The sequence below is a fragment of the Homo sapiens genome, chromosome 1 (assembly GCF_000001405.40).
Source record: "Homo sapiens chromosome 1, GRCh38.p14 Primary Assembly".
Classification (NCBI taxonomy): Eukaryota; Metazoa; Chordata; class Mammalia; order Primates; family Hominidae; genus Homo; species Homo sapiens.
In genome coordinates this window covers 158,941,317-158,969,195 of record NC_000001.11, presented here as the reverse complement: position 1 = coordinate 158,969,195, position 27,879 = coordinate 158,941,317, and the positions used below count along the sequence as shown (strand labels likewise).

The 27,879-nt window shown below is 40.4% G+C and overlaps 1 protein-coding gene across 6 annotated transcripts in view, besides 2 other annotated features; it reads right to left on the bottom strand.

The window, feature by feature from the left end:
- PYHIN1 (pyrin and HIN domain family member 1) overlaps positions 1–27,879 on the bottom strand; it is a 59,319-nt gene that overhangs the window by 21,675 nt on the left and 9,765 nt on the right. For all 6 annotated transcript variants that reach the window (XM_011509243.3, NM_152501.5, NM_198929.5 and 3 more), the window contains exons 5-7: positions 26,797–27,219; positions 25,218–25,406; positions 24,154–24,321 (exon numbers count right to left, since the gene is read on the bottom strand). In XM_011509243.3, coding sequence (XP_011507545.1) covers positions 24,154–24,321; positions 25,218–25,406; positions 26,797–27,219 — 780 coding nt within the window. The remainder of the gene's footprint in view (positions 1–24,153; positions 24,322–25,217; positions 25,407–26,796; positions 27,220–27,879) is intronic.
- Positions 9,996–10,174: a silencer, noted in NCBI's record as "fragment chr1:158928812-158928990 (GRCh37/hg19 assembly coordinates)". NCBI's record gives its function as "represses an EF-1alpha promoter that drives an FKBP-Casp9 reporter gene in an ReSE screen in K562 erythroleukemia cells {active_cell/tissue: K562}" and the evidence as "EXISTENCE:reporter gene assay evidence [ECO:0000049][PMID:32094911]".
- Positions 15,563–16,531: an enhancer, noted in NCBI's record as "H3K27ac-H3K4me1 hESC enhancer chr1:158922455-158923423 (GRCh37/hg19 assembly coordinates)". NCBI's record gives its function as "activates a minimal SCP1, AML or CMV promoter by ChIP-STARR-seq in naive and primed H9 embryonic stem cells {active_cell/tissue: H9 hESC(naive and primed)}" and the evidence as "EXISTENCE:reporter gene assay evidence [ECO:0000049][PMID:30033119]".

Below are 27,879 nucleotides of genomic sequence, written 5' to 3'. Positions count from 1 at the left end.
ATATATAGAAAAATATTTCAGAAATTTTAACATCTACATTCTGACTCTGGAAGCAATATATGACCATGAAATACTTAAGTTTTAGAGTTCATTAAGGCTGGATTTGAATGTTGACTGTAAGACCAAAAATTATTTTTTTAACTTTTATTTTAGGTTCAGAGGTACATGTGCAGGTTTGTTACATAGGTAAACTGCATGTCACAGGGGTTTGGTGGACAGATTATTTCATCACCCAGGTATTAAGCTTGATACCCACTAAGAATTGTTTTTTCATCCTCTCCCTCTTCCCATCCTCCATCTTCAAGTAGGCGCCAGTGTCTGTTGTTCTCCTCTTTGGGTCCGTGTGTTCTCTCATTGTTTAGCTCTGTTTATAAGAATGGCATCCAGCTCCATTCATGTTGGTGCAAAGGACATGATCTTATTGTTTTTTGTGGCTGTGTAGTATTCCATGGTGTGCATGTGCCACACTTTCTTTATCCAGTCTAACGTCAATGGACATTTAGGGTGATTCCATGTCTTTGCTATTGTGAATAGTGGTGCAATGAACATATGCATGCATGTGTCTTTGTGGTAGAATAATTTATATTCCTTTGGGCATATGCCCAGTACTAGGATTGCTGGGTCAAATGGGAGTTCTGTTCTAAGTTCTTTGAGGAATTGTCACACTGCTTTCCACAATGGCTGAACTAATTAACACTCCCACTGGCAGTATATAAGTGTTCCCTTTTCTCTGCAAGCTCACCAGTATCTGTTATTTTTTGACTTTTTAATAACAGTCATTCTGATTGGTGTGAGATGTTACCTCATTGTGGTTTTGATTTGCATTTCTCTAATAATTAGTGATGTTGAGCATTTTTTCATGTTTGTTGGCCATGTGTATGTTTTCTATTGAGAAGGGTCTGTTCACATCCTTTGCCCACTTTTTAATGGGGTGGCTCATTTTTTTCTTGTAAATTGGTTTACATTCTTTATAGATTCTGGATAACAGATCTTTGTTGGATGCAAAGTTTGCAATTTTTTTTTTCTCATTCTGTAGATAGTTTGATTACTTTGTTGGTAATTTCTTTTGCTGTGCAGAAGTTCATTAGTTTAATGAAGTCCTATTTGTCATTTTTTCTTTATGTTGTAATTGTTTATGGCATCTTCAAAACGAAGTCTTTTCCAGGCCCTATATCCAGAATGGTATTTTCTAGGTCATCTTCCAGGGTTTTTATAGTTTTAGATTTTACACTGAAGCCTTCAATTCATCTTGAATTGACTTTTGTATATGGTGTAAGGAAGGGGTCCAGTTTTAATCTTCTGCATATGGCTAGCCAGTTATCTCAGCACCATTTATTGAAAAAGGAGTCCTTATCCCATTGCTTGTCATTGTCAACTTTGTCAAAGATCCAGTGATTGTAGGTGGGCGGCCTTATTTCTGGGCTGTCTATTCTGTTTCATTGGTCTATGTGTCTGTTTTTGTACCAGTACTATGCTCTTTTGGTTACTGTAACCTTGCAGTATAGTTTGAAGTTGGGTCAAGTGATACCTCCAGCTTTGTTCTTTTTGCTTAGGATTGCTTTGACTATTCAAGTTCATTTTTGGTTTTATATAAATTTTAAAATCGTGTTTTCTAATTCTGTGAAGAATGTCATTGGTAGTTTGATAGGAATAGCATTGAATCTGTACATTGCTTTGGGAAATCTGGCCATTTTTAATAATATTGATTTTTCCTATCCATGAGCATGGAACTTTTCCTATTTGTTTGTGTTCCTTCATTTCTTTGAGCAGTGTTTTGTAATTCTTATTGTTAATAACTACCTCCTTGGTTAGCCTCTCTGTGATTGCCTAACCTCTCCAAGCTTCAGTTTCCTTATGTAAAAAATGAAATGATTGCCTCATTATTTTGATTTGAAGATTATGAGAAAAATGGATCCAAAGTGATGTACACAGTGCCTGTCACATAAGACACAATATACAAAACAGACTACATTCTAAGAAAACCCTCTCATCCCACAAATAGCCTGCTCTAGAAAAAAATGTAGTATGGTGATTTCCAACCTTGATGAATACAATAAATCCTTTTGTCAATTTTTGTGGCAATTGTGAACGGAATTGCATTCCTGTTTTGACTCTCAGCTTGGATGTTGTTGGTTTATAGGAATGTGTACTGATTTTTGTATATTGATTTTGTATCCTGAAACTTTGCTGAAGTTGTTTATGAGATCAAAGAGCTTTTCTGCAGAGACTATGGGTTTTTCTAAATACAGGATTTTGTCATCTGCAAAAAGTGATAGTTTGACTTTCTCTTTTCCTACTTGGATGCCTTTTATTTCTTTATCTTGCCTGATTCCTCTGGCCGGGATTTCTAGTACTCTATTGAATAGGAATGGTGAGGGAGGCCATCCTTGTCTTGTTCCAGTTTTCAAGGGGAGTGCTTCTAGCTTTTGTCCATAAAGTATGATGTTGGCTGTGGGTTTGTTGGAAATGGTTCTTATTATTTTGAAGTATGTTCATTCAATGTCTAGAGTATTTAGGGTTTTTAACATGAAGGGATGTTGCATTTTATTGAAAGCTGTTTCTGCATCGATTGAGATGATTATGTAGCTTTTTGGTTCTGTTTATGTGATGAACCACATTTATTGTTTTGTATATGTAACTTTGTATTCCAGAGATAAAGCCTACTTGATTGTGTTGGACTAGCTTTTTGAAGTACTGCTAGATTTTGTTTACTTGTATTTTTTTGAGGATTTTTGCATGTATGTTCATCAAGAATAACCACCTGAAGTTTTCTTTTTTTGTTGTGTCTCTGCCTTTTGTTATCAGGATGATGCTGGCCTCATAGAATGAATTGGAGAGGAGTCCCTCCTCCCCAGTTTTTTGAATAGTTTTAGTAGGAATGGTACCAGCTCATCTTTATGCATCTGATAGCATTTGGCTGTGAATCCATCTGGTCATGGGCTACTTTTAGTTGGTAGACTTTTTCTTACTGATTCAATTTCAGAACTTGTTATTGGTCTATTCAGTTATTCAGTTTCCTCCTGGGTTAGTCTTCAGAGGTTGTATGTGTCTAGGAATTTATCCATTTCTTCTAGGTTTTATAGCTTGTGTGCATAGAGGTGATTATAGTAGTCTCTGAAGGATTGTTGTATTTCTGTGGGGTCAGTGGTAATTTCCCTTGGTCATTTCTAATTGTGTTTATTTAGATCTTGTCTCTTTTTTTAGTCTATCTAGCAATCTTTCTTATTAATTTTTTCAACAGATGAACTCCTGGATTCGTTGATCTTTGTCTGTTTTTTTCACATCTCAATTTCTTTTAGTTTAGCTCTGATATTGGTTATTTCTTTTCTCCTGCTGGCTTGGGGATTGATTGTTCTTGCTTTTCTAGTTCTTCTAGTTGTGATGTTGGGTTGTTAATTTGAGATCTTTTAAATTTTTTGATGTGAGCGCTTAGTGCTACAAACCTCTCTCTTAAGACTGACTTAGCAATGTCCCAGAGATTCTGATGTATTTTATCTTTGTTCTCATTAGTTTCAAAGAATTTCTTTATTTCTGCCTTTATTATTCACCCAAAAGTCATTCAGGAGAAGGCTGTTTAATTTCCATGTAATTGTATGGTTGGAGCCATTTTCTTACTATAGATTTATACTTTTATGCACTGTGTTCTGAGAAGGTGGTTGGTATGATTCTGTTTTCTTGAATTTGCTGAGGATTGTTTTATATCTGATCGTGTGGTCGACTTCAGAGTGTGTGCTATGTGGCAGTAAGAAGAATGTGTGTTCCATTGTTTTAGGTTGAGAGTTCCATAAATGTCCATTAGGTCCATCTTGTCAAGTATTGAGTGCAGTTCCTGAATATCTTTGCTATTTTTTTTTGTTTGCCTGAATGATCGATCTAATACTGCCAGTGTGGTATTGAAGTCTCCCACTATTATTGTATGTGACTCTAAGTCTCTTTGTGGGTCTCTGAGAACTTGTTTTATGAGTCTAGGTGCTCCTGTGTTGTGTGTGTATATATTCAAGGTAGTTAGGTCTTCTTGTTGAATGAAAGCCTTTACCATTATGAAATGCCCTTCTTTGTCTTTTTAACTCTTTGTTGGTTTAAAGTCTGTTTTTTCTGAAATTATGATGGCACCCTCTGTTTTTTTTTTCTGCTTTCTATTTGTTTGGTAGATTTTTCTTTGTCCTTTTATTTTGAGCCAATGGGTGTCATTGCATGTGAGACAGGTCTCTTGAGGACAGTATACCATTGGGTCTTGCTTCTTTATCCAGCCTGCCACTCTGTGACTTTTAAGTGGAGTGTGTAGCCTGTTTACATTAAAGGTTAATATTGACATCTGCAGATTTGATCCTGTCATTGTGTTGTTAGCTGATTATTATGCAGACTTGTTTCTGTGGTTGCTTCATAGTGTCACTATTCTGTGTACTTAATTGTGTTTCTGTAGTGTCTGGTAATGTTCTTTCCTTTTCATACTTAGTGTTCCTTTCAGTATCTCTTATAAGGCAGGTCTGGTGGTAACAAATTCCCTCAGCATTTGCTTGTCTGAAAAGGATCTCATTTCTTTTTCATTTTTGATGCTTTGTTTGGCTGTATGTGAAATTCTTGCTTGGAAATTATTTTCTTTAAGAATGCTGAATATAGGTCCCAAGCTCTTCTGGCTTGTCAGGCTCCTGTTGAAAGTTCTGCTGTAGTCTGATAGGGTTCCTTTTGTAGGTGACCTTCCCAGTGACCTGCCCCTTCTCTCTAGCTGTCTTTAACATTTTTAAATTCATTTCGACCTTGGAAAAGCTTATGATTATGTGTCTTGGGGATGGTCTTTTTGTGTAGTATCTCACAGGATTTCTCTATGTACCCTGAATTTGAAAGTTTGCCTCTCTAACAAGGTTGGGGAATTTTTCATGGATGATATCCTGAAATATGTTTTAAAGGTGTTTGCTTTCTCCTTGTCTCTCTCAGGGACACCAATGAGTTCTAGACTTTGTCTCTTTACATAATCCCATTTTTCTCAGAAGATTTTTCATTCTTTTTAATTCCTTTTTCTCTATTTCATTTCTGATTGAGCTATTTCTTTGAGCCCTGAGGTTTTTTCCTCAGGTTATTTCATTCTGCTCTTAATACATGCAATTGCATTATGAAATTCTTGTAATGTATTTTTCAGCTTTATCAGATCAGTTTGGTTCTTTTTTATGATGGCCATTTTTTCTATCAGCTCCTGTATCATTTTATTGAAACCCTTAGATTTCTTGAGCTGAGTTTTAACTTTCTCTTGAATGTCAATTATCTTAATTCCTACCCATATTCTGAATTCTATTTCTGTCATTTCAGCCATTTCAGCCTGGTTAAGAACCCTTGCTGGGGAACTAGTGCAATCTTTTGGAGGAAACAAGACACTCTGGCTTTCTGAATTGCCAGAGTTCTTGCACTGTTTCTTTTGAGTAGTTAGAAACCTTCTTTCCTGGATGTTGTTAGAGAGCTGAGGCTTTGTGCAGGGTTTTAATTTCTAGCTAAATTCTTGTCCATGGTTACACAGGGGTCTATATTAGCAAAATATTTTTGGTGTTGAAGTTTTGGGCTGTGATCCAGTAGGTGGTGCTTAAGTGTATTGGCCAGTAGGTAGGCTCTTGCTCTGCCATATGCAGGGCATGCTCCCTCTCAGTGCTCTGAAAGTGTGGGCTCCTTTCCCACTTGAGTACTGGCTCCAGATCTTGGCTTGGCACACTGCAGCTCTGGGATGAGCTCAGATTTTATGTTCCCTCGCCAGCTTGAAGGCTGCAGCAGAAGAAACCTTAGCAGTGGTTATGGCAGAGGGCCTTTCACTTGACTCTTGGTGGTCCACCCCAGAGAAACGAGGAGCTGCTATCAGCCAGTGCAATTGGCCAAAGATGGGGCAGCTGTGCTGTGGGCCCAAGCCAGAGGGTCCCGGTTTGGTGAAGAGCAGGGCTACGGGTGGGTCACAAGAGAGATAGACTGAGTTCTTCTCCTTAGGGCAACTGCAGTTCCTTCCCCAGTCTGAAGGCAGCAGGGCAGTACCACTGCAGCAGCAGTGGCAGAGGGGCTTTTGGTTGCCTCTGGGAGCTGCACCTCAGAGAGATGCAGAGCCGCTGCTACTGGGAATGTTCAGCTAGAGAATGGGAAGTTACATTGCTGGCCACAACTAGGGGCTCAGCTCGTTGAGGAGTGGGGCACTGAGGATTCATAGGGAGGAGGGACTGTGCTTTGCTGCCTGTATGGTGACTGTGGTGTGCTGGAAGCGCAGGTGAAACTCTCGGGGTCTTTGTTTCTTCCTTGAACTAAGGGGATCAGGGGCAGAACCACTGCTGTGGCCGTTGCAGTGGGGCTGTCAGTTGCCTCTGGGACCCCCTCCCCAGGGAAACACAGAGTTACTAGCAGACCGTATGCTTAGCCATGGGTGGGGCAGCTGTTTTGCAGTTCAAAGCCAGGAGCCCTGTCTGATGAAGAGTAGGGCTGGGAGCTCATAGGGAAGAGAGACTGGACTCCTCTCCAATGCTCGCTGCTGTGTGCTGGAGGTGCCAGTGTAGTGACCAGGCCCTTTGTTTCTTTCCCAGCTCGAGAGCAGTTAGGGCAGTGCCACTGCAGCTGCAATGGTGGAGGAGTTGTGGGTTGTCTCTGAGATTTTCTCCTGAGACAAATGCAAAGCTGCTTTCCACTGAAGTGTTCAGGAGGGGGCAGGGTAATTGTGTTCGAGTCCTAGGCCTGAAGGCCCCACCCAGTGAGGAGAAATGTGAACAGGGACCCACGGATACAACGGTCCGATCACTTCTCCGTGGGGTGGCTCCAGTGTGTTGGGGATCCGCCCATCACTAATCACTGCCCATCCTTCAGAACCTGAAGGCAACTGGTGCAAGGGCTGCAAGACAGAAAAAATGGCAGCCTACCTTTCCCTCTAGGAGCTCCATCCCAGGGAAGTATAGAGATGCTATAGTCACCAAAGCCCAGGTAGGGAGTAACTGGAGTCTGAAGTCAGGAGGTCCTGCCCAGTGAGGAGAACTGGCATCGGGAATCCACGTATAAAACAGTCTGGCCACTTTTTCATGAGGCATCTGTGCTGTGCTGGGGATCCAGCCAGTCCCTAATCACCACACACTCTCCAGGGCCTGAAGGCAGCCGTGACAATGGCTGTGAAACAGCAAAAATGGTGGGCTTCCTCTCCCTCTGGGGGCTCCAACCCAGGGAAGTGCAGAGCTGCTACCGGCCCATGAGCTCAGGCAGGGGGGTGGCTGGAGTACTAGGCTAGTGGACTTTATCCTGTGAGGTGCAGTGGAGGCGAGGCTTAGAGTCCAGTGCTGCTTAGTCCCCTGGATTCAGCTCCTTTTCTGAAGGCCTGTGAGGCAGCCTGACCTCCCCTATTGCCAGAGCTGCAGCCGCTAATTCCAGGATACTTGGATCCAAGGCTCCAAGGGTTCCTTGTATGCCTGAGTGGTGGCTCTGCCCAGGCTCCACTTAGCTTTCCCTCTCAATCTGAAGGCTCCAGTGGGGTGGTCTCATAGGGGTATCTCCTGAGCCCAGGGTGGCAAAGGTCCGTGGCAGAAGTATGGGTCCCCAGAGACTCTCACTCACTCACCATTTCCCTGCAGTGGAGAAGCCTCCTCTGGCTCCGTGCCATTCCCAGGTGAGCAATTGTCTTGTCTCACTCTTCTCTATTCTCCATGGGTAAAGTTGTTTTCTCGGTGGATCTCAATGGTCCACCTGGATGTTCCAGTTGAAGATCTAGCATTTACTTGCTACTCTCTTCTCTCTACAAGAGTGGTACACACTACCTGTTTCTAGCTAGTCATCTTGGCCCTCAAAAGCAGTATCTTAAATGAAGATTTAACCTCTCATTTCCTCAGTATTTAGAAATATGAAATGTGACTAATAATGACATCATCAAGTTAGTGTAAGGAAGAACAAATAAGAAAAGATACATAAAGTACATATAATTTACATTTAGCACACTCACTATCTTTGTGAACTTGGGGAATATTTTTAAATCCTATGTATTTCAGTTTTCTCTTATGTATAAGGCTGTGAGTAGCATTCTCATGACTGTGTTATGAAAAAGAGATGTGATAATATACATATACATATAGAATGCAGGTTTTAAAAACCAGTACCCTGTAAATACTCAGAAAGTAGAATATCATTTATGATTGGTATCATACTCATTCTGCAGGGATTTGGATGTCTACTCTGATCACTTATGTCTCATACTCCCTGTTTACCTTTCTCATGGAAACCCTAGATCAAATTGGTATAGAAAGTATTTTATTAAAGAAACTTCTTTATTCATATCTACCACTTATTGACAAAAACATCTTGAGTTACTATCTTCTCAAAAACAGCCAAATAAAACAGTCCATCACAATGGTGGAATTTAGATGAGAAAATATATACTCTGGTTGACTAGTATTTTAAATTATTAAAAAAATTTTCTCAGAGTAATTCTTTTCCTTACCATCCCTGGTCCTGATTCATGTCAATTTGAGTTTTTGGCTTTAGGTTAACATAACATAAGACATCAATGATAAGAATAGGCTGCTTCTTGTTTTAAGTCCCAATCCATATAGAACCTATATCAGACAAAATCTTTTGGCAAACCCATGATGAGTGGCACAAGACTTTCCTGCTCACCTAGTGAGCCATAAGTAAGTAGTTGGATACTCTTTTTTTCGGGTGGTAGTTGGACACCCAAGAATAAATGGCTGCATGATGTGTTTAGGTATTTGAGGCCATAAAGGCATAATATCCTCCTGGGATTGCTGTGCTCTACAGATGTTCATGTACAGCAGAATAATCTGTACAGCTTTAGCAAGGGTTGTGATTAAGATTTTGGCAGGTAAGATTTAGAAATTCCTACATAATCCCATTCAATCAGTGTAAGTGAGAAAGGCATTGTTGTCTGGAGATGTTCATTTAAGTGGATATTGAAGTGGCCAAGAGAATATGGATCTGCGGTTGCAATGATTGAGCAAGGGCTCCATTCATAGCCACTTGTGCCAAGTTGGCAAAAAGACACAGGCTGCTAGCTCAAATAATACTTGAATAAACTATTGAGGCAATATAGTTAATTAAAACTAAGAACTACAATGATAACAATGAAAACAAAATAGAGAGCTTGTATATAGGAAGCTTATCTTCCAGGGTGTATATAAGGTGGTGGAGGTGTCTGTTGCTGGGTCAGAATGCAGCTTAGGGCTTGGGTGAGAAATGAATGTAAAAATAGTGATTTAATTCTTTTGCTTTTCCTCCAAGTTTCCTGCCCTTTCACCATAAATACAGGCTTCTGAACCCTGAGTGCAGGTAAGTACCCCATCATGTCAGAGGAAAAGGTAATCTGGAATAAGAATTGATGCACATAGCATGAACTGACCTTTCCCCTCTTGTATTCTGTTGCTCTGGGGTAGACTCTACCTACCATCTGAGCTTATGGTATAGAAAGGGGGAAAATCACTCCTTCACTCCAGTTGTTCAAACGCTATCATGAAAAGTAAAGGGTGCTAGGAAACTCATAAATGAAGGACCTGAGAGAACCAACAATGGGAGGACCTCATCTAATCTGAAACGTGGGTACCTGTGGTAATTCAGTCAGGCTGGTAGGAAAAATTTTAAGATGAAGTTATAACAAATCTTCTTGGAAGGCCGGAAGGTTTTGTAAAAGTCTCAAGATAGGGTTATGGCTGAAAGCAGCCTACTTCTTACCTTGAGTAAATAGCTTAAAGTGGGTACAAAGGAAGGTAGAGTAGTTTATCTAAATAGCTTGTTTACTAATGTGGTCTTAAGGCCAACTTTTGATCAACCGCGGGTGCATAATTGCTCTCTAAAGGGTCCGGTCGGCAACCAAATTACCCACAGGTTTGTTGATTCAAAAGGATTTGTCAATTAAGTCTCTGCTAAATAAATACCCACAGGGCCAGCTAGTCGAGGCTGTGGCTGCTACTCTTTACAGCACCTTCCTTGGTGTCTTTGAGGGGCCTGGACCCTTAGCTCAGCTGACAGGCAGAATATCTGTGTCAGTGTCTGTTATTCATCCGTCGTTGGGTCAGGGTCTGCAGGATGGACCCCTGCAGCTGGTGCCCTGTGTGAGGAACGCTGCAAAGGGAGTGCAACGGACCTCCCAAAAACGAAGGTGAAAAAAACTGCACGGTCAGTGAGTCAGTAAGTCATTAGTGCCCGCTTGGGATTTCCAAGTTTGGTGGGGGTGGGGATTGTTCAGACCAGGGTTTCATCACTGGACAACACTTATCAGCTCAACAGAAACAGTATATAAAAGTATTGAAACAGCCGCTTAAGGCTAGCGGAGCCTCAGTTTCACAGGCTCAATTAAGGGAACTAATGCAAACTGTTGTTACCCATAATCCATGGTTCTTAAAAGAAGGCATGCTAGATGTAGAGCTCTGGGAGCAAGTAGGGAGAAATCTTTTTTTTTTTTTTAATTTATTTTTTTTCTTTTCTTTTTTTTTATTATACTTTATGTTTTAGGGTACATGGCCACATTGTGCAGGTTAGTTACATATGTATGCATGTGCCATGCTGGTGCATTGCACCCACTAACTCGTCATCTACCATTAGGTATATCTCCCAATGCTATCCCTTTCCCCTCCCCCCACCCCACCACAGTCCCCAGAGTGTGATATTCCCCTTCCTGTGTCCATGTGATCTCATTGTTCAATTCCTACCTATGAGTGAGAATATGCAGTGTTTGGTTTTTTGTTCTTGCGATAGTTTACTGAGAATGATGATTTCCAATTTCATCCATGTCCCTACAAAGGACATGAACTCATCATTTTTTATGGCTGCATAGTATTCCATGGTGTATATGTGCCACATTTTCTTAATCCAGTCTATCATTGTTGGACATTTGGGTTGGTTCCAAGTCTTTGCTATTGTGAATAATGCCGCAATAAACATACGTGTGCATGTGTCTTTATAGCAGCATGATTTATAGTCCTTTGGGTATATACCCAGTAATGGGATGCCTGGGTCAAATGGTATTTCTAATTCTAGATCCCTGAGGAATCGCCACACTGACTTCCACAATGGTTGAACTAGTTTACAGTCCCACCAACAGTGTAAAAGTGTTCCTATTTCTCCACATCCTCTCCAGCACCTGTTGTTTCCTGACTTTTTGATGATTGCCATTCTAACTGGTGTGAGATGGTATCTCATTGTGGTTTAGATTGGCATTTCTCTGATGGCCAGTGATGATGAGCATTTTTTCATGTGTTTTTTGGCTGCATAAATGTCTTCTTTTGAGAAGTGTCTGTTCATGTCCTTCACCCACTTTCTGATGGGGTTGTTTGTTTTTTTCTTGTAAATTTGTTTGAGTTCATTGTAGATTCTGGATATTAGCCCTTTGTCAGATGAGTAGGTTGTGAAAATTTTCTCCCATTTTGTAGGTTGCCTGTTCACTCTGATGGTAGTTTCTTTTGCTGTGCAGAAGCTCTTTAGTTTAATTAGATCCCATTTGTCAATTTTGTCTTTTGTTGCCATTGCTTTTGGTGTTTTAGACATGAAGTCCTTGCCCATGCCTATGTCCTGAATGGTAATGCCTAGGTTTTCTTCTAGGGTTTTTATGGTTTTAGGTCTAACGTTTAAGTCTTTAATCCATCTTGAATTGATTTTTGTAGAAGGTGTAAGGAAGGGATCCAGTTTCAGCTTTCTACATATGGCTAGCCAGTTTTCCCAGCACCATTTATTAAATAGGGATTCCTTTCCCCATTGCTTGTTTTTCTCAGGTTTGTCAAAGATCAGATAGTTGTAGATATGCGGCATTATTTCTGCGGGCTCTGTTCTGTTCCATTGATCTATATCTCTGTTTTGGTAACAGTACCATGTTGTTTTGGTTACTGTAGCCTTGTAGTATAGTTTGAAGTCAGGTAGTGTGATGCCTCCAGCTTTGTTCTTTTGGCTTAGGATTGCCTTGGCAATGCGGGCTCTTTTTTGGTTCCATATGAACTTTAAAGTAGTTTTTTCCAATTCTGTGAAGAAAGTCATTGGTAGCTTGATGGGGATGGCATTGAATCTGTAAATTACCTTGGGCAGTATGGCCATTTTCACGATATTGATTCTTCCTACCCATGAGCATGGAATGTTCTTCCATTTGTTTGTATCCTCTTTTATTTCCTTGAGCAGTGGTTTGTAGGTCTCCTTGAAGAGGTCCTTCACATCCCTTGTAAGTTGGATTCCTAGGTATTTTATTCTCTTTGAAGCAATTGTGAATGAGAGTTCACTCATGATTTGGCTCTCTGTTTGTCTGTTGTTGGTGTATAAGAATGCTTGTGATTTTTGTACATTGATTTTGTATTCTGAGACTTTGCTGAAGTTGCTTATCAGCTTAAGGAGATTCTGGGCTGAGACAATGGGGTTTTCTAGATATACAATCATGTCGTCTGCAAACAGGGACAATTTGACTTCCTCTTTTCCTAATTGAATACCCTTTATTTCCTTCTCCTGCCTAATTGCCCTGGCCAGAACTTCCAACACTAAGTTGAATAGGAGTGGTGAGAGAGGGCATCCCTGTCTTGTGCCAGTTTTCAAAGGGAATGCTTCCAGTTTTTGCCCATTCAGTATGATATTGGCTGTGCGTTTGTCATAGATAGCTCTTATTATTTTGAAATACGTCCCATCAGTACCTAATTTATTGAGAGTTTTTAGCATGAAGGGTTGTTGAATTTTGTCAAAGGCTTTTTCTGCATCTATTGAGATAATCATGTGGTTTTTGTCTTTGGCTCTGTTTATATGCTGGATTACATTTATTGATTTGCATATATTGAACCAGCCTTGCATCCCAGGGATGAAACCCACTTGATCATGGTGGATAAGCTTTTTGATGTGCTGCTGGATTCGTTTTGCCAGTATTTTATTGAGGATTTGTGCATCAATGTTCATCAAGGATATTGGTCTAAAATTCTCTTTTTTGGTTGTGTCTCTGCCAGGCTTTGGTATCAGAATGATGCTGACCTCATAAAATGAGTTAGGGAGGATTCCCTCTTTTTCTATTGATTGGAATAGTTTCAGAAGGAATGGTACCAGTTCCTCCTTGTACCTCTGGTAGAATTCAGCTGTGAATCCATCTGGTCCTGGACTCTTTTTGGTTGGTGAACTATTGATTATTGCCACAATTTCAGCTCCTGTTATTGGTCTATTCAGACATTCAACTTCTTCCTGGTTTACTCTTGGGAGAGTGTATGTGTTGAGGAATTTATCCATTTCTTCTAGATTTTCTAGTTTATTTGCATAGAGGTGTTTGTAGTATTCTCTGATGGTAGTTTGTATTTCTGTGGGATCGGTGGTGATATCCCCTTTATCATTTTTTATTGTGTCTATTTGATTCTTCTCTCTTTTTTTCTTTATTAGTCTTGCTAGCGGTCTATCAATTTTGTTGATCCTTTCAAAAAACCAGCTCCTGGATTCCTTAATTTTTTGAAGGGTTTTTTGTGTCTCTATTTCCTTCAGTTCTGCTCTGATTTTAGTTATTTCTTGCCTTCTGCTAGCTTTTGAATGTGTTTGCTCTTGCTTTTCTAGTTCTTTTAATTGTGATGTTAGGGTGTCAATTTTGGATCTTTCCTGCTTTCTCTTGTGGGCATTTAGTGCTATAAATTTCCCTCTACACACTGCTTTGAATGCGTCCCAGAGATTCTGGTATGTTGTGTCTTTGTTCTCGTTGGTTTCAAAGAACATCTTTATTTCTGCCTTCATTTCACTACGTATCCAGTAGTCATTCAGGAGCAGGTTGTTCAGTTTCCATGTAGTTGAGCGGTTTTGAGTGAGATTCTTAATCCTGAGTTCTAGTTTGATTGCACTGTGGTCTGAGAGATAGTTTGTTATAATTTCTGTTCTTTTACATTTGCTGAGGAGAGCTTTACTTCCAAGTATGTGGTCAATTTTGGAATAGGTGTGGTGTGGTGCTGAAAAAAATGTATATTCTGTTGATTTGGGGTGGAGAGTTCTGTAGATGTCTGTTAGGTCCGGTTGGTGCAGAGCTGAGTTCAATTCCTGGGTATCCTTGTTGACTTTCTGTCTCATTGATCTGTCTAATGTTGACAGTGGGGTGTTAAAGTCTCCCATTTTTAATGTGTGGGAGTCTAAGTCTCTTTGTAGGTCACTCAGGACTTCCTTTACGAATCTGGGTGCTCCTGTATTGGGTGCATATATATTTAGGATAGTTAGCTCTTCTTGTTGAATTGATCCCTTTATCATTATGTAATGGCCTTCTTTGTCTCTTTTGATCTTTGTTTGTTTAAAGTCTGTTTTATCAGAGACTAGGATTGCAACCCCTGCCTTTTTTTGTTTTCCATTTGCTTGGTAGATCTTCCTCCATCCTTTTATTTTGAGCCTATGTGTGTCTCTGCATGTGAGATGGGTTTCCTGAATACAGCACACTGATGGGTCTTGACTCTTTATCCAATTTGCCAGTCTGTGTCTTTTAATTGGAGCATTTAGTCCATTTACATTTAAAGTTAATATTGTTATGTATGAATTTGATCCTGTCATTATGATGTTAGCTGGTGATTTTGCTCGTTAGTTGATGCAGTTTCTTCCTAGTCTCGATGGTCTTTACATTTTGGCATGATTTTGCAGCGGCTGGTACCCGTTGTTACTTTCCATGTTTAGCACTTCCTTCAGGAGCTCTTTTAAGGCAGGCCTGGTGGTGACAAAATCTCTCAGCATTTGCTTGTCTGTAATGTATTTTATTTCTCCTTCACTTATGAAGCTTAATTTGGCTGGATATGAAATTCTGGGTTGAAAATTCTTTTCTTTAAGAATGTTGAATATTGGCCCCCACTCTCTTCTGGCTTGTAGGGTTTCTGCTGAGAGATCCGCTGTTAGTCTGATGGGCTTCCCTTTGAGGGTAACCCGACCTTTCTCTCTGGCTGCCCTTAACATTTTTTCCTTCATTTCAACTTTGGTGAATCTGCCAATTATGTGTCTTGGAGTTGCTCTTCTCGAGGAGTATCTTTGTGGCGTTCTCTGTATTTCCTGAATCTGAACGTTGGCCTGCCTTGCTAGATTGGGGAAGTTCTCCTGGATAATATCCTGCAGAGTGTTTTCCAACTTGGTTCCATTCTCCCCATCACTTTCAGGTACACCAATCAGACGTAGATTTGGTCTTTTCACATAGTCCCATATTTCTTGGAGGCTTTGCTCATTTCTTTTTATTCTTTTTTCTCTAAACTTCCCTTCTCGCTTCATTTCATTCATTTCATCTTCCATTGCTGATACCCTTTCTTCCAGTTGATCGCATCGGCTCCTGAGGCTTCTGCATTCTTCACGTAGTTCTCGAGCCTTGGTTTTCAGCTCCATCAGCTCCTTTAAGCACTTCTCTGTATTGGTTATTCTAGTTATACATTCTTCTAATTTTTTTTCAAAGTTTTCAACTTCTTTGCCTTTGGTTTGAATGTCCTCCCATAGCTCAGAGTAATTTGATCATCTGAAGCCTTCTTTTCTCAGCTCGTCAAAGTCATTCTCCATCCAGCTTTGTTCCGTTGCTGGTGAGGAACTGCGTTTCTTTGGAGGAGGAGAGGCACTGTGTGTTTTAGAGTTTCCAGTTTTTCTGTTCTGTTTTTTCCCCATCTTTGTGGTTTTATCTACTTTTGGTCTTTGATGATGGTGATGTACAGAAGGGTTTTTGGTGTGGATGTCCTTTCTGTTTGTTAGTTTTCCTTCTAACAGACAGGACCCTCAGCTGCAGGTCTGTTGGAGTACCCTGCCGTGTGAGGTGTCAGTGTGCCCCTGCTGGGGGGTGCCTCCCAGTTAGGCTGCTCGGGGGTCAGGGGTCAGGGACCCCCTTGAGGAGGCAGTCTGCCCGTTCTCAGATCTCCAGCTGCGTGCTGGGAGAACCACTGCTCTCTTCAAAGCTGTCAGACAGGGACATTTAAGTCTGCAGAGTTTACTGCTGTCTTTTTGTTTGTCTGTGCCCTGCCCCCAGAGGTGGAGTCTACAGAGGCAGGCAGGCCTCCTTGATCTGTGGTGGGCTCCACCCAGTTCGAGCTTCCTGGCTGCTTTGTTTACCTAATAAGCCTGGGCAATGGCGGGCGCCCCTCCCCCAGCCTCACTGCTGCCTTGCAGTTTGATCTCAGACTGCTGTGCTAGCAATCAGCGAGACCCGTGGGCGTAGGACCCTCGGAGCCAGGTGCAGGATATAATCTCCTGGTGCGCCATTTTTTAAGCCGGTCCGAAAAGCGCAATATTCGGGTGGGAGTGACCCGATTTTCCAGGTGCGTCGATCACCCCTTTCTTTGACTCGGAAAGGGAACTCCCTGACCCTTGTGCTTCCCAAGTGAGGCAATGCCTCACCCTACTTCGGCTCGCGCATGGTGCGTGCACCCACTGACCTGCGCCCACTGTCTGGCACTCCCTAGTGAGATGAACTCGGTACCTCAGATGGAAATGCAGAAATCACCCATCTTCTGCGTCGCTTACGCTGGGAGCTGTATACGGGAGCTATTCCTGTTCGGCCATCTTGGCTCCTCCCTCTGGGAGAAATCTTAAACAACATTATGCTCAAGGGCAATGGGTCCCAGTAACAGCCCTAACGCTATGGGCTTTAGTTAGAGCGGCTCTGGTTCATTGCAACCAGAAGAGCCTAAAAAGGGGAAGGAGGAGGAACCATCACCTGCCTTACCACTTCCTCTTCCCTCAGCCCCAATATCACCAAGCCAAAATAACAAAGATGAATGGAGGTTTTGCCTGAGCTCCCTCCTCCAATAGATGGGAAAAAAAATGGGATATGCTCTAGGTATGGAACCCTGTCTTAAGCGGCATTAAAAGGGGAGCCGTTCACCTGCCCAGTAATGCAAGATCAACGAGGCAATCATAAACCCATTTTTTTTTTTTAACGCTTATAAAAAGATTTTGAAAAGCATCAGAGGCCAGAGTTGTGCGGCCAAGCAAGCAGTAGGTAGAAAGAAAGGCTCGGCAGCGGGGAAGCTCACAAATCCGCAGCCAGCTAATGCTCCTAGGAACTCAGCCTGCACAGCTGCTGCGACAGGAAGCCAGGCCCAGCTGCAGGAGCTAGACTGCTGGGGAGGGGCAGGAGGCACTTGCAGAAAGGTCCACCCAACAGGCAGCGGGAGGGAGCGGCACAGGAAAAAAAAAAAAAAAAAAAACCGACACAGGCAAAAGCGGCGCCTAGGCAAGCGCAACGCAGCCACCACCCTGGGGCCCACCTGCTTAGCTCTCCAGCTCCGCAGGCGGACCACAGCAAAATTTCATGTGCTCCTTGTATACAAGCGACATCCCAGATTATAATTCTATGCTAAGATTTAAGAAAAAATTTAAAATTTAAAAAACTTCTTTCTAATAATGGCCACTGTTATCTCTCTCTTACCCCTAACGTGACTCTCTCCAAATCCAATTTAAGTAAAACGGTAACCTCTAAAGGGAGAAAAATCACAAAAGGCCCATGAGTTAGTTAAGGAGCAATTAAGAGCAAACTTTGCTCCCCAGTAGAAAAAAAAATTCCTGATTGCAAGGTTATTCATTTTATGGATGATACTCTCTTAATAGTCCTTGAGATTCACCCATTTTCATCATTCCCAAAAAGTCTAGTAAATGTTTTAACTACAAAAGTAGTTCACTCCCCACACACCTAATGCTTTAACACTGTTTACTGATGGTTTGGGTAAACATGGAAAAGCGCTAGTCTGGTGGAGACCACGTAATTCAATCACTCGATCTGGGTTTACTAGCACTTAGAGAGCTGAGATTGGGGCTCTGATATTGTCCTTGGAAACTTTTTCCACTCAGCCCATCAATATAGTTAGCGATTCTGCTTACTCTATTTATTGCAGAACCTTGAGACAGCTCTAATTAAGTCCACTCTGGAGCCCGCCCTGTATGCTGTTTTTCTCTGACTTCAGCAATTGCTAGATCAACGTACACATCCTATTTTTATTACACACATTCCAGCCCACAGCTCACTGCCTGGCCCATTGGCTTATGGCAATGAACAAGCAGACATTCAGGTTATGACATCACTGCTTGACAAAGCCACCTAATGGCATCAATTTTTCCACCAAAATTGGAGAAACTTATCTAAGCAAATTCAACTTACCCAGAGACTGGCTAAACAAATTATCCTACAATGCCCAGATTTCGAGCTCACAGGCACATCTCCTCCTTCAACAGGTGTTAACCCTAGAGGACTAGAACCTAATCAGTTATGGCAAACAGATGTTACACACATCCCTGAATTTGGAAAACTAAGATATGTACATGTATCCGTTGATACTAACACTCATCTAATTAGTGCACACGTTCTTCCTGGAAAATCCACTGGAGATGTCATTAACTTTTGCACTTATGGGACAGCCCACAAAAATTAAAACTGATAATGGTCCAGCTTATGCCAGCTCACAATTTCAACAATTTTGTCACATGTGGAATAGCCAACATTCCACAGGCATCCCATATAACCCCCAAAGACAAGCCATGGTAGAACGTGCCGACTCCACCCTTAAAAATATGCTCAAGAAACAGAAAAGGGGGAGTATGGGTAAATACCCTGCCACGCTATTGGCACAAGCCTTATTTATGCTTAATTTTAAAAATTGAGATGACACATTTCAATCAGCTGTAGAAAAGCACTTTGCTGAAACCTCTCTAGGCATAAAACCTTCAGTTTTATGGAAAGATGTCAACGGTAATGTACGGTGTGGTCCAAGTGAATTATTAACGTGGGGAAGAGGGTATGCTTGTGTCCACACACCCTCAGGTCCTCTTTGGATTCCAGCATGACACATCAAACCATATCACAGCGTGGCTAGGACCCAACCTGGTACCAGAAATGAAGGAACTAACCCTGCAGGACCCGCAGCCCTGGACAATGTGGCTTCCTCGGATGACACAAGCCCCGGACATTACCTGGGGGATGCTGAAGAGGACAACTCAGGAGGCTGAATGAATCCTGCTCCTGACACAGACACCATTCACTCCAGATAATTTGCTTCTTGCTATGCTTTCTGTTGTACATTGCAAATCACTTAGGGTATTGTTCCTTTTTTATGCTCTCGCTTTGTCTGCAACCTGTACCTGCTAAACTCTACTGGGCTCATATCTTAGATCTGCCTCTCTTTCGCCCTGTCACTTGGGCAGACACTCCCTTTCCAGCCTTTAATAACGTGATTGCTTGGCTAGGAGGGTTAGATTTACACCCAATGGGGTCTCTCAATAATGGCACACATTGGACTAAGGTGCCAGATAACACTACATATCACTCCACTATCCTTCCACTGTGTGTAAGTTATAAAGGTTCTAACCCTTAATGTGTACCTGCCCAAACCCAATTGTGGCTACATCATGGCAAAAGAAATGCCTTAACAGTCTTAGCTGCAGGCAGCCTCAAACTGGGTAATGCAATTAATGCCGCTTTCCCAAACATTCCTTCCTGTGCTCACAATAGCAAAGACTTGGAACCAACCCAAATGTCCAACAGTGATAGACTGGATTAAGAAAATGTGGCACATATACACCATGGAATACTATGCAGCCATAAAAAATGATGAGTTCATGTCCTTTGTAGGGACATGAATGAAATTGGAAATCATCATTCTCAGTAAACTATCGCAAGAACAAAAAACCAAACAGTGCATATTCTCACTCATAGGTGGGAATTGAACAATGAGAACACATGGACACAGGAAGGGGAACATCACACTCTGGGGACTGTTGTGGGGTGGGGGGAGGGGGAAGGGAGAGCATTGGGAGATATACCTAATGCTAGATGACGAGTTAGTGGGTACAGCGCACCAGCATGGCGCATGTATACATATGTAACTAACCTGCACATTGTGCCCATGTACCCTAAAACTTAAAGTATAATAATAAAAACAAAACAAAACAAAAAAAGCCAGGAAAGTAATGAATTCCACTTTAGCTGGGAGGTCTGTCATGGGGAACAAGCCTATAGCCTCCAACTAGGCAATTATAACATCTTAGACTGGAGCCCACACAGCTGTTTGCAGGGCAGCCTTACTGATGTCCTCATCCATCATGGCATCAATCACAGTTTTGTAACCTCATCACGTTCCCCTGTGATTTGGGCTGATGGGGGGATGGGTTATCCCAGACCCCAAGTAAAGTCCTTGCCACCCCATGACACTTTATGGTGCCTAGGACATCTTAGCACCTCCTCTGACACCTGGCATGGGACATATCATAATTCCAGTCACAATTACACTATAGCCTTCACTTGTAATCACACTGATCAGTGCCTAATTTGCACTCCCCATCCATATGTTTTCCTTATGGGAACTGATATTTCCATGACACCCCAAAACTCCGCCTTTGTGACCCAGGTGCAGGGACAGGCTTGGTTTGCCTCATGTATCACTAATGACAATATATCTAATTTAAATATTGCTAGTGTTATGATATTAAGGAGACAATCTGAGGCATTCCTACCAGTCAATTTGACACATGATTGGCAAGGTTCCTCTGCCCTTGCCACCTTAGAACGTCCCCTGTCCCAGGTCAGACTCAAAAGATTCGTAGGCACACTTATAGCCTTTATGGTCTCAGCCATAGTCATCCTGGCAACTGCTAGTATGGCTGTTGCATCTATTACTGAATCAGTACAAACAGCTGCTTTTATAGATAATATGGCCAGAAATGTGTCTAATAAACTTCTCTTACAGCAAGGTATAGATCAAAAGATTCTTGCACTACTGCAATCCCTCGAGGCTGCCTTAGAATATGTGGGGGAGCAACAAGACGCACTGGCATTCCAACAGCAATGAAACTGCAACTGGGGGCATAAACATATCTGTATCATTTCTCTACCATGGAATCAATCAATACATGGTTGGAATGAGGTGAAACAACACCTCTGGGAAACCTTTCATGACAATTTGGCAGCAGACATAAAGCAACTTAAAACTAAAATTTTAGAATCCTTTCACACTATAGATCCACACACCCAACAAACAGCCATATGGAAGGGTGTGCAAGATTATCTCTACTGGTTTGACACCTGTTCCTGGGGGTCACTCTGACTGGAAAAGAATGCTGCTAATTATATTCATGATTATCTTATGTTATTTGCTAATTCTAGGATGCAAAGCCAGAATAATAGCAATGACCGCCCCACCCAACAGACTTGTTGCTGCACACATCTGTATGCTTCAGTCAAGAGAACCTGATGCAGAAAACAGAAAAGGGGGACATGTTGTAGTTCAGTCAGGCTGGTGGAAAAATTTTAAGATGAAGTTCTAGGACATAGACACAAATCTTCTTGGAAGGCTGGAAGGTTTTGTAAAAGTCTCAAGATAGGGCTATGGCTGAAAGCAGCCTAATCCTTACCTTGAGTAAATAGCTTAAAGTGGGTACAAAGGAGGTAGTTTATCTAAATAGCTTGTTTACTTCTGTGGTCTTAAGACCAACCTTTGATCAACTGTGGGTGCATAATCGCTCTTTACTTGGGGGTTGGTGATCAGATTAATTACCTACAGGTGTGTTGACTCAAAGCCTTTGTCAATTAAATCTGTGCTAAATAAATGCCCGCAGGGCTGGCTAGTGGAGGCTGTGGCTGCTACTCTTTACAGCACCTTCTTTGGTGTCTGTGATGGGTCTGGACCCTTAGCCGAACTGACAGGCAGAATATCTGTGTCAGTGTATGTTATTCATCTGTTGTTGGGTCAGGGTCTGCAGGACAAACCCCCACAGGTACCAGTGAGAACTTGTCCTAGGAAGGGATTTAGGCTGGAGAGGTGGGTTAGAGAAGAGACTGGAGAAAATGATCCCAGCAAAGGAAGCAATCTTTGTCAAAGCTTCTGATTTGGAAAAGACCATGGATAGTTTAAAATAAAACCTGAGGTATGGCCATAAACAAAGTGAAAGGATGAAAGGTAACTGGAATATAGGTAATGAACACATTCTTGTATTCATCTTCCTTTATCTGGCTATATCCCCACAATCTCTCTCTACACCTGGACCAACAAAAGACAGTAATCCTCTTGAGTCAGGAATGATTTCATGAACATATACTTTGTAAACACCAAAAGACAAAATCTAATAAGGTCTCAAAGAATATACTTAACTAATGATAATAAATTTTATTAAAAAGATTGTATTCAGTTGGGATCAATGAGTTACCTGTCATGATCCAATCACCCTAGTAATTATGATGTTGTGAAGCACAGGAATGGGAAATACAAGATAGTATCTTGTGTAAGAAACTGCATGATGTGGTTTTTGGGCATAACTGAGAAACCTGATGCTGGAACCCATATGGAAATGAGTTCTTCACTGCAGTTTGCTGAGGCTCACTCTGCTCTGGGGCTGAATTAGGAGATTGAGGTCAGGAGTTTCAGTGTTTGTGTCCTTAATTGTTGGGAGGAAAATAGATTATTTTTTTCTGGTCAATAATTTTCAATATGAGTCACAACATAATAAATATTTTATCCATTTTAACAGGACCCTCTCTTTGTGAATGTTCTCTGGAATATCTGTATAAATGTAAATTCCCTAAATCTCCTCTTCTGCATACACAGAAACCGGAATTACAAACTTCACTCTGAAAATGTCTGATGGGTGTTTATTAACTAAGTCTTTCTAGTCAAGGAAATACACAAATGGGTACCTGTTGTCTGTTCTTTAGATTGTAGGAAATCCAGCTTTATGTTTCATCTATCTATCTATCTATCTATCTATCTATCTATCTATCTATCTAATCACTGTGCTAGAAGGATTCTTTCAAATCCACAATTCCAGATGCAGAATTCTGCTGTTTTGTAGTCTGCATAAGTTAGCCAGAATCCTCAGGGCTGTTAATCATATTTAGAAATACTTAACAATCTACTTGAGCATTTGCAGTAAATGTTTTTTAACATTTTTTTCCAAAAGCAAGGACATAGGTCTCCTCAATCATATAATTTTCTCTATTTTCACTGATTTTTTTTACCATTCATTAATAGGTTACTTTCCATAGTTCTACCACTTCTAGAATTCAGTTATGTAATATATAAAAAGCACTCTGTTATAGAGAAGAATGAGAGGACTCTAATTCTGGAGAGTGGCTTCTGTATGACAGTACACTTTGTTCATTCTGGGTACCTCATTATTTTTGAGAAGCCCTGCAGAGCCTGGGCTATGCAAACATATTCATTAAATGACACTGTCAATTCTGAAATTTGTAAAATAAATTGCTGACATTAGTATATCTCAACTTTTAATCTAAAGCCCCATATAATCATAAATTGTTCAAGTTTTACATTTCAATAGGGCTGGATATGAATCCTGACTCTAACACTGTCTTTGAGAACTTGAGGAAGACTTTTTTTTTATGTTTGAGTGTGTCTATTTTCTTCTATGTCAATTGGGACAGAAAGTAGCATCCTCTTGATGGTTATGAAGAAGGAATGAGATAATGTACATCAGGAACAACATGTAAGACCAAACACCTAGTTAAATGCTCAAACACAGAACATTGTCGTTACATGTTCTATGCTGGGACTTGTAGTTTTTTTCTTTTCTACAAATATATCATGTGCTACACTGACCCTATTAAGGGAAACCCCAGATCAAGGAAGTATGGAAAACATCTTATATGATAAGCCTCTCTGTTCACTTCTGTGAAATTAGTACTTTACTCTCATTGACAGGAGGCCCTGTAAAAGCAAACAATAGGAGGACTCAACAGTTCTGCTATCTTGTATCATTGAGGACTTGCCAGAGGAAAATACTTAAGTTGGTGTCTGAAATTTAAGGAAATTCTTGCCAGTGATGAGATGGGAGAAATAGATTCCCAACAATGAAATAGCATGTTTCCAAATATATACTTCGAATATTTATTTCAACTTGGAATGCTGAAAATAAATTCAGAAATAATACCAATAAGCAAAGGGGAAAGTTGTGAAAGAAATTGGAATGTGGGTCATAACACACTCTTTGTCTTCATCTCTACTTCTCTGGCCATTACCCCTCCCATAGGTGGAGCAAGACAAGATACTAGCCCTCTTGTGGTCAGCAATCGTTGCACAAATAAATATCTTTTAGATAGCAAAGACTATCATGTGGTAGTATCTCACTGTATGCATTCAATAAATACATGGGTGATTTAATTTTATCTAGAGATTGTACACAGTTAGGGATTAGAAGAGAAACTCTTTCAACAATCTAATGATCCTTGTAATTTATATTTGGGAGATAAGAGTCATGGGACCCAGGATATTGTACCTTGGTGAAGGAACTGCTGGATGGGGTTGTTGGTGGCATCTGAGGAGTCTTGAGATGGCTTTCAGGTAGGGTTGTGCTGGCCTCTGAAGGTTTTGGATGCTGACTCTGTTCCTGGGGTAGTGCCATGCTCCTGGAGTCATGGCTTCTCTGGTTTGTATTTTTCTGTATCTGAAAGTATTCATTTTTTTGTTTAATGTTTTTTAATATTAGGGAAAGCAAAACATCTTTAAATATGTGAGAATATCATCCTTTATTAAATTCTAATAGATGTCATTACCTTCAAAGATTGCCTCTATCTAATGTATTCCTCCAGGCAACTGCCAATATATTTTTTTGCTAAAATGTAAAATGATCTAACATTCTTAGTAAAATAAAATCTTTATTCACTTATTTTTTAAAATGAAATCCATTTTTGTCTTTATGGCATAAGACAGATGAGAAAAGGGCTGCTTGTTACCTGTCTTGCATGAATTTCTCATACCTTTCCACATATGCCAAAGTTGTACAGAACTCACTATGCTTTTTCTCACTTTTAATGTTTGTATGCAACATTTTCTCTGCCTGAAGTCTTTCCAATGTCTGTCTTTACCTTGTTAAGAGCAGTAGTATCTAGTGCATACTGGTTTGTCACAAGGTACAAGGAAGGCAATGGGCTACAAAATGTATATCCATGATCTCATTTAATTTTCAAACCAATTGTGTGAGGAACATGTAAGCTATTTCTCCAATATCATGCAACCAATGAGCAAGATATATACCAAGCCTATCTTACTGCAAAGAACTTGGTTTTGATAACTAACTGCAATTAGGCCCGTGGCCTCCTAGTTTCTTCAAATATTTTAATATTTAGCACAAGTTTCATGTCTTTTTGAAGAAGATAATTGTCCATCTCTTAATATATTTTAATAATTTTCTCTATTTAAATGTAAGCGCAAGGGCATTATTTGGTTTCTCATGAACTCTGCAGAATTTTAAGTGTAAAACAACAGAAGTATGGCTTCCTAAAACTTAAAGCAAATGATTTTCATCTTTGGAAAACTAATATTTGTTTCTTTATTTCTCACCTGGATGAAACTATGCATTTCTGACATCAGTTTTGACATATTTTCCCTCTTTCTCAGTCGAAAGCAGAAGAGTCGAAGCTTATCTCCTTTTTCACAGGGGATATTGTGGCATTCTCCTTTTCCTACTACAGCCATACTTCCTGTTTTATCCTGAATTTCATAGATTGTCGTCTTCCTATTTACAATTTTCTGCAACAAAAAATTAATATCATGTTTGTGAGAACATAGTAACTACCGTGCATATAGGAAAGTCTCTTGTGACAGATTAAAAACAAGATGCAAGACAGCAACTCCTAGTACTGTATCGACATACAATACATATGCCTTAGTCTAGACCATCTCACAGAGCTCTCCCTCAATATCCTTTTTGTTTAAGTCCTTAATGTTCTAAGTATTTCTATTACAGTTCTAGAGCAATGAGTTATCTTCCCATTTTCAACTTCTTTCACCTCCAAGACTGCTATGCTTCCCAAAGCACCTTGATACAAAGGAAACTGAAGTCCTTGGTAGGCTTATTTGGCCTCTGCCCCTATGCAAAAAGAATGGGCATCTGTCACAACTCATCATTCACTATGTTATGAGGAATCTGTAATAAAAAACAAGCTTCTAGTAACTATCTAATTACTTTTTTGACTTTCTCCATTTACTGAATCTCTTTCAACATCTGCTCCCATCCTGAACTCAGGTCCTTAAGCTCAAACATTCCAATTTCTTGCTCATCAAGGCTATTACTCATCGTTCTGGATGTGTATTTCTAAGAATTTCTTTAAGAGTGTGTACAGAAAGCAATGCTGGTAAAATAAGAGGTCATTCTAGAAAATAAATATAACAGATCATGAGCTGTCAGTCATCTAAGAAATTACTGGACTCAATAGCCAGGTATAGATGGTTTTCTGAGTTGGAATGTCTCAAGCTAACTAGTTTCGTGAATTTTGACAGTAACATATCAGAAAATTTTTTCTGCTCTTTTTTTGCGACATATCTAATATACGAGTACAGATTACCTGATTCTCCAAGTATCACCCAAATTTATATTTCTCAGCCCTTCAATACTTTTTGATGAATGCATTTCATTTGGTCAGAACATTGTCCTACCTGTTTACTGCAATTGATTTCCAGGTATAAACAGTCAATTCATTTCTTGCCCTGATTGTCAAAACTGGAACTCAAGCCTCAAAGAACAATACTGTATTCAAAATGAAAACAATGTGATTTTTGCTACAATTGAGATTATAATCAAAGAAATAAGTTTAGTATTATGTTTGTATGGATCTAGATCCCTCACTATCTTTGATCGTTATGACTCATAATAGATAGTCACAGCTGATGAAGTCTCAAGGTTTCTCAGTGAATGTTTTACTAAAGAACTTCAGGGTGATATTTTGGAAAGAATGAGAACATTAATAGTTCTCCTAATCCTGGTCTTAACCTCGAAGAAGACTTTATCTACTTGTCAGTAGTTTTGAGAGAGTCCTGAGTTTTAATGTTAAGTAATATGCAAACTTCCATTTAGCACATCAGGGCTTTTAATTTCAAGTGTTATTGTAGAAAATGCCACAAAATAGCTTTGATGCCTTACCGTATGTAGCATAAATAATCCATATACAATATATCCTGAAGTTTGTTTGTGAAGAATATTGATCTTCGGAATTTTCTTTGCTCTTCTGATGATGTCCTTTGGAACCTCAAACGTTTGGTCAGGACCAGCTTCAGATACAGAAGAGGCTTCATTCACCTCTAGGAGACTATTACGTTTGGAATAATTTGATATAATGATGATTCTCTTTTTAATGAATTTCCTCTTCAAGTTGATGTTTAAAACCTTCACATGAAAGAACTGTGTCTGCGTAGCCACTGTAGCATGAAACATTCTTCTTTGCTCATTTTCTGAGGATTCATATTTAAATACTTTTGTTGCATTTAGTACCATCGCGATTATTGGGTCTTCTCGGAAAATATTTTTACTGGCAGTTGCGTGACGGTTGGCCAATGGTTTTAGGCTCTGCGCATGATACAAAAGGAATACAAAAAAGAAATTTTTGAGTGAGGAATACAGAATTGCTCTTCAGTGACCTCAAGGCACAACATTGGGCCCCCAAAAGTTGTAGATGTGTAGAGCTGGGGCCAGGATACAGGGAAGGAGAGGATATTCTGAAGTAGTCTCATAGCCAGAGGAAGTAATATAGGAGACCACATAGTAAAAGAAGACTTTCTTTAAACAGAATAATCCTTAAAATGTAAGATATAATAGCAACAAAAGACAAGTGGATGCTGAGCCAATCATCATGAATTAACTTAAAATAAATTTAGGATAAAATAATGAGTTGTAGTTTTACTCTTACCAGCTTAAAATGCCAGAGCATAAAAATAGACAAAATACAATTGAATAGCGCTGAAAATGGTAAAGGGTGTCCACCACAAACCACATACATCAACAGTGTTTAGTTATTACCAATGTAGACAGGGCAATTTTTAGCATACAACTCATACTTTTCCTGCCTAAGATAAATGCTGTTAAAGCAGGTGAGAACACCTGTGGGCTAAACCCCTCAGAATGCCCTCATCTCAGTAGGTTCAGGCTACAGACACTCTACAGAGTGTCATTACCACCATTGCAGTCTTTCTCAATGTCAGGGCTCTAGGAGGTAGCATGCTGACAGAA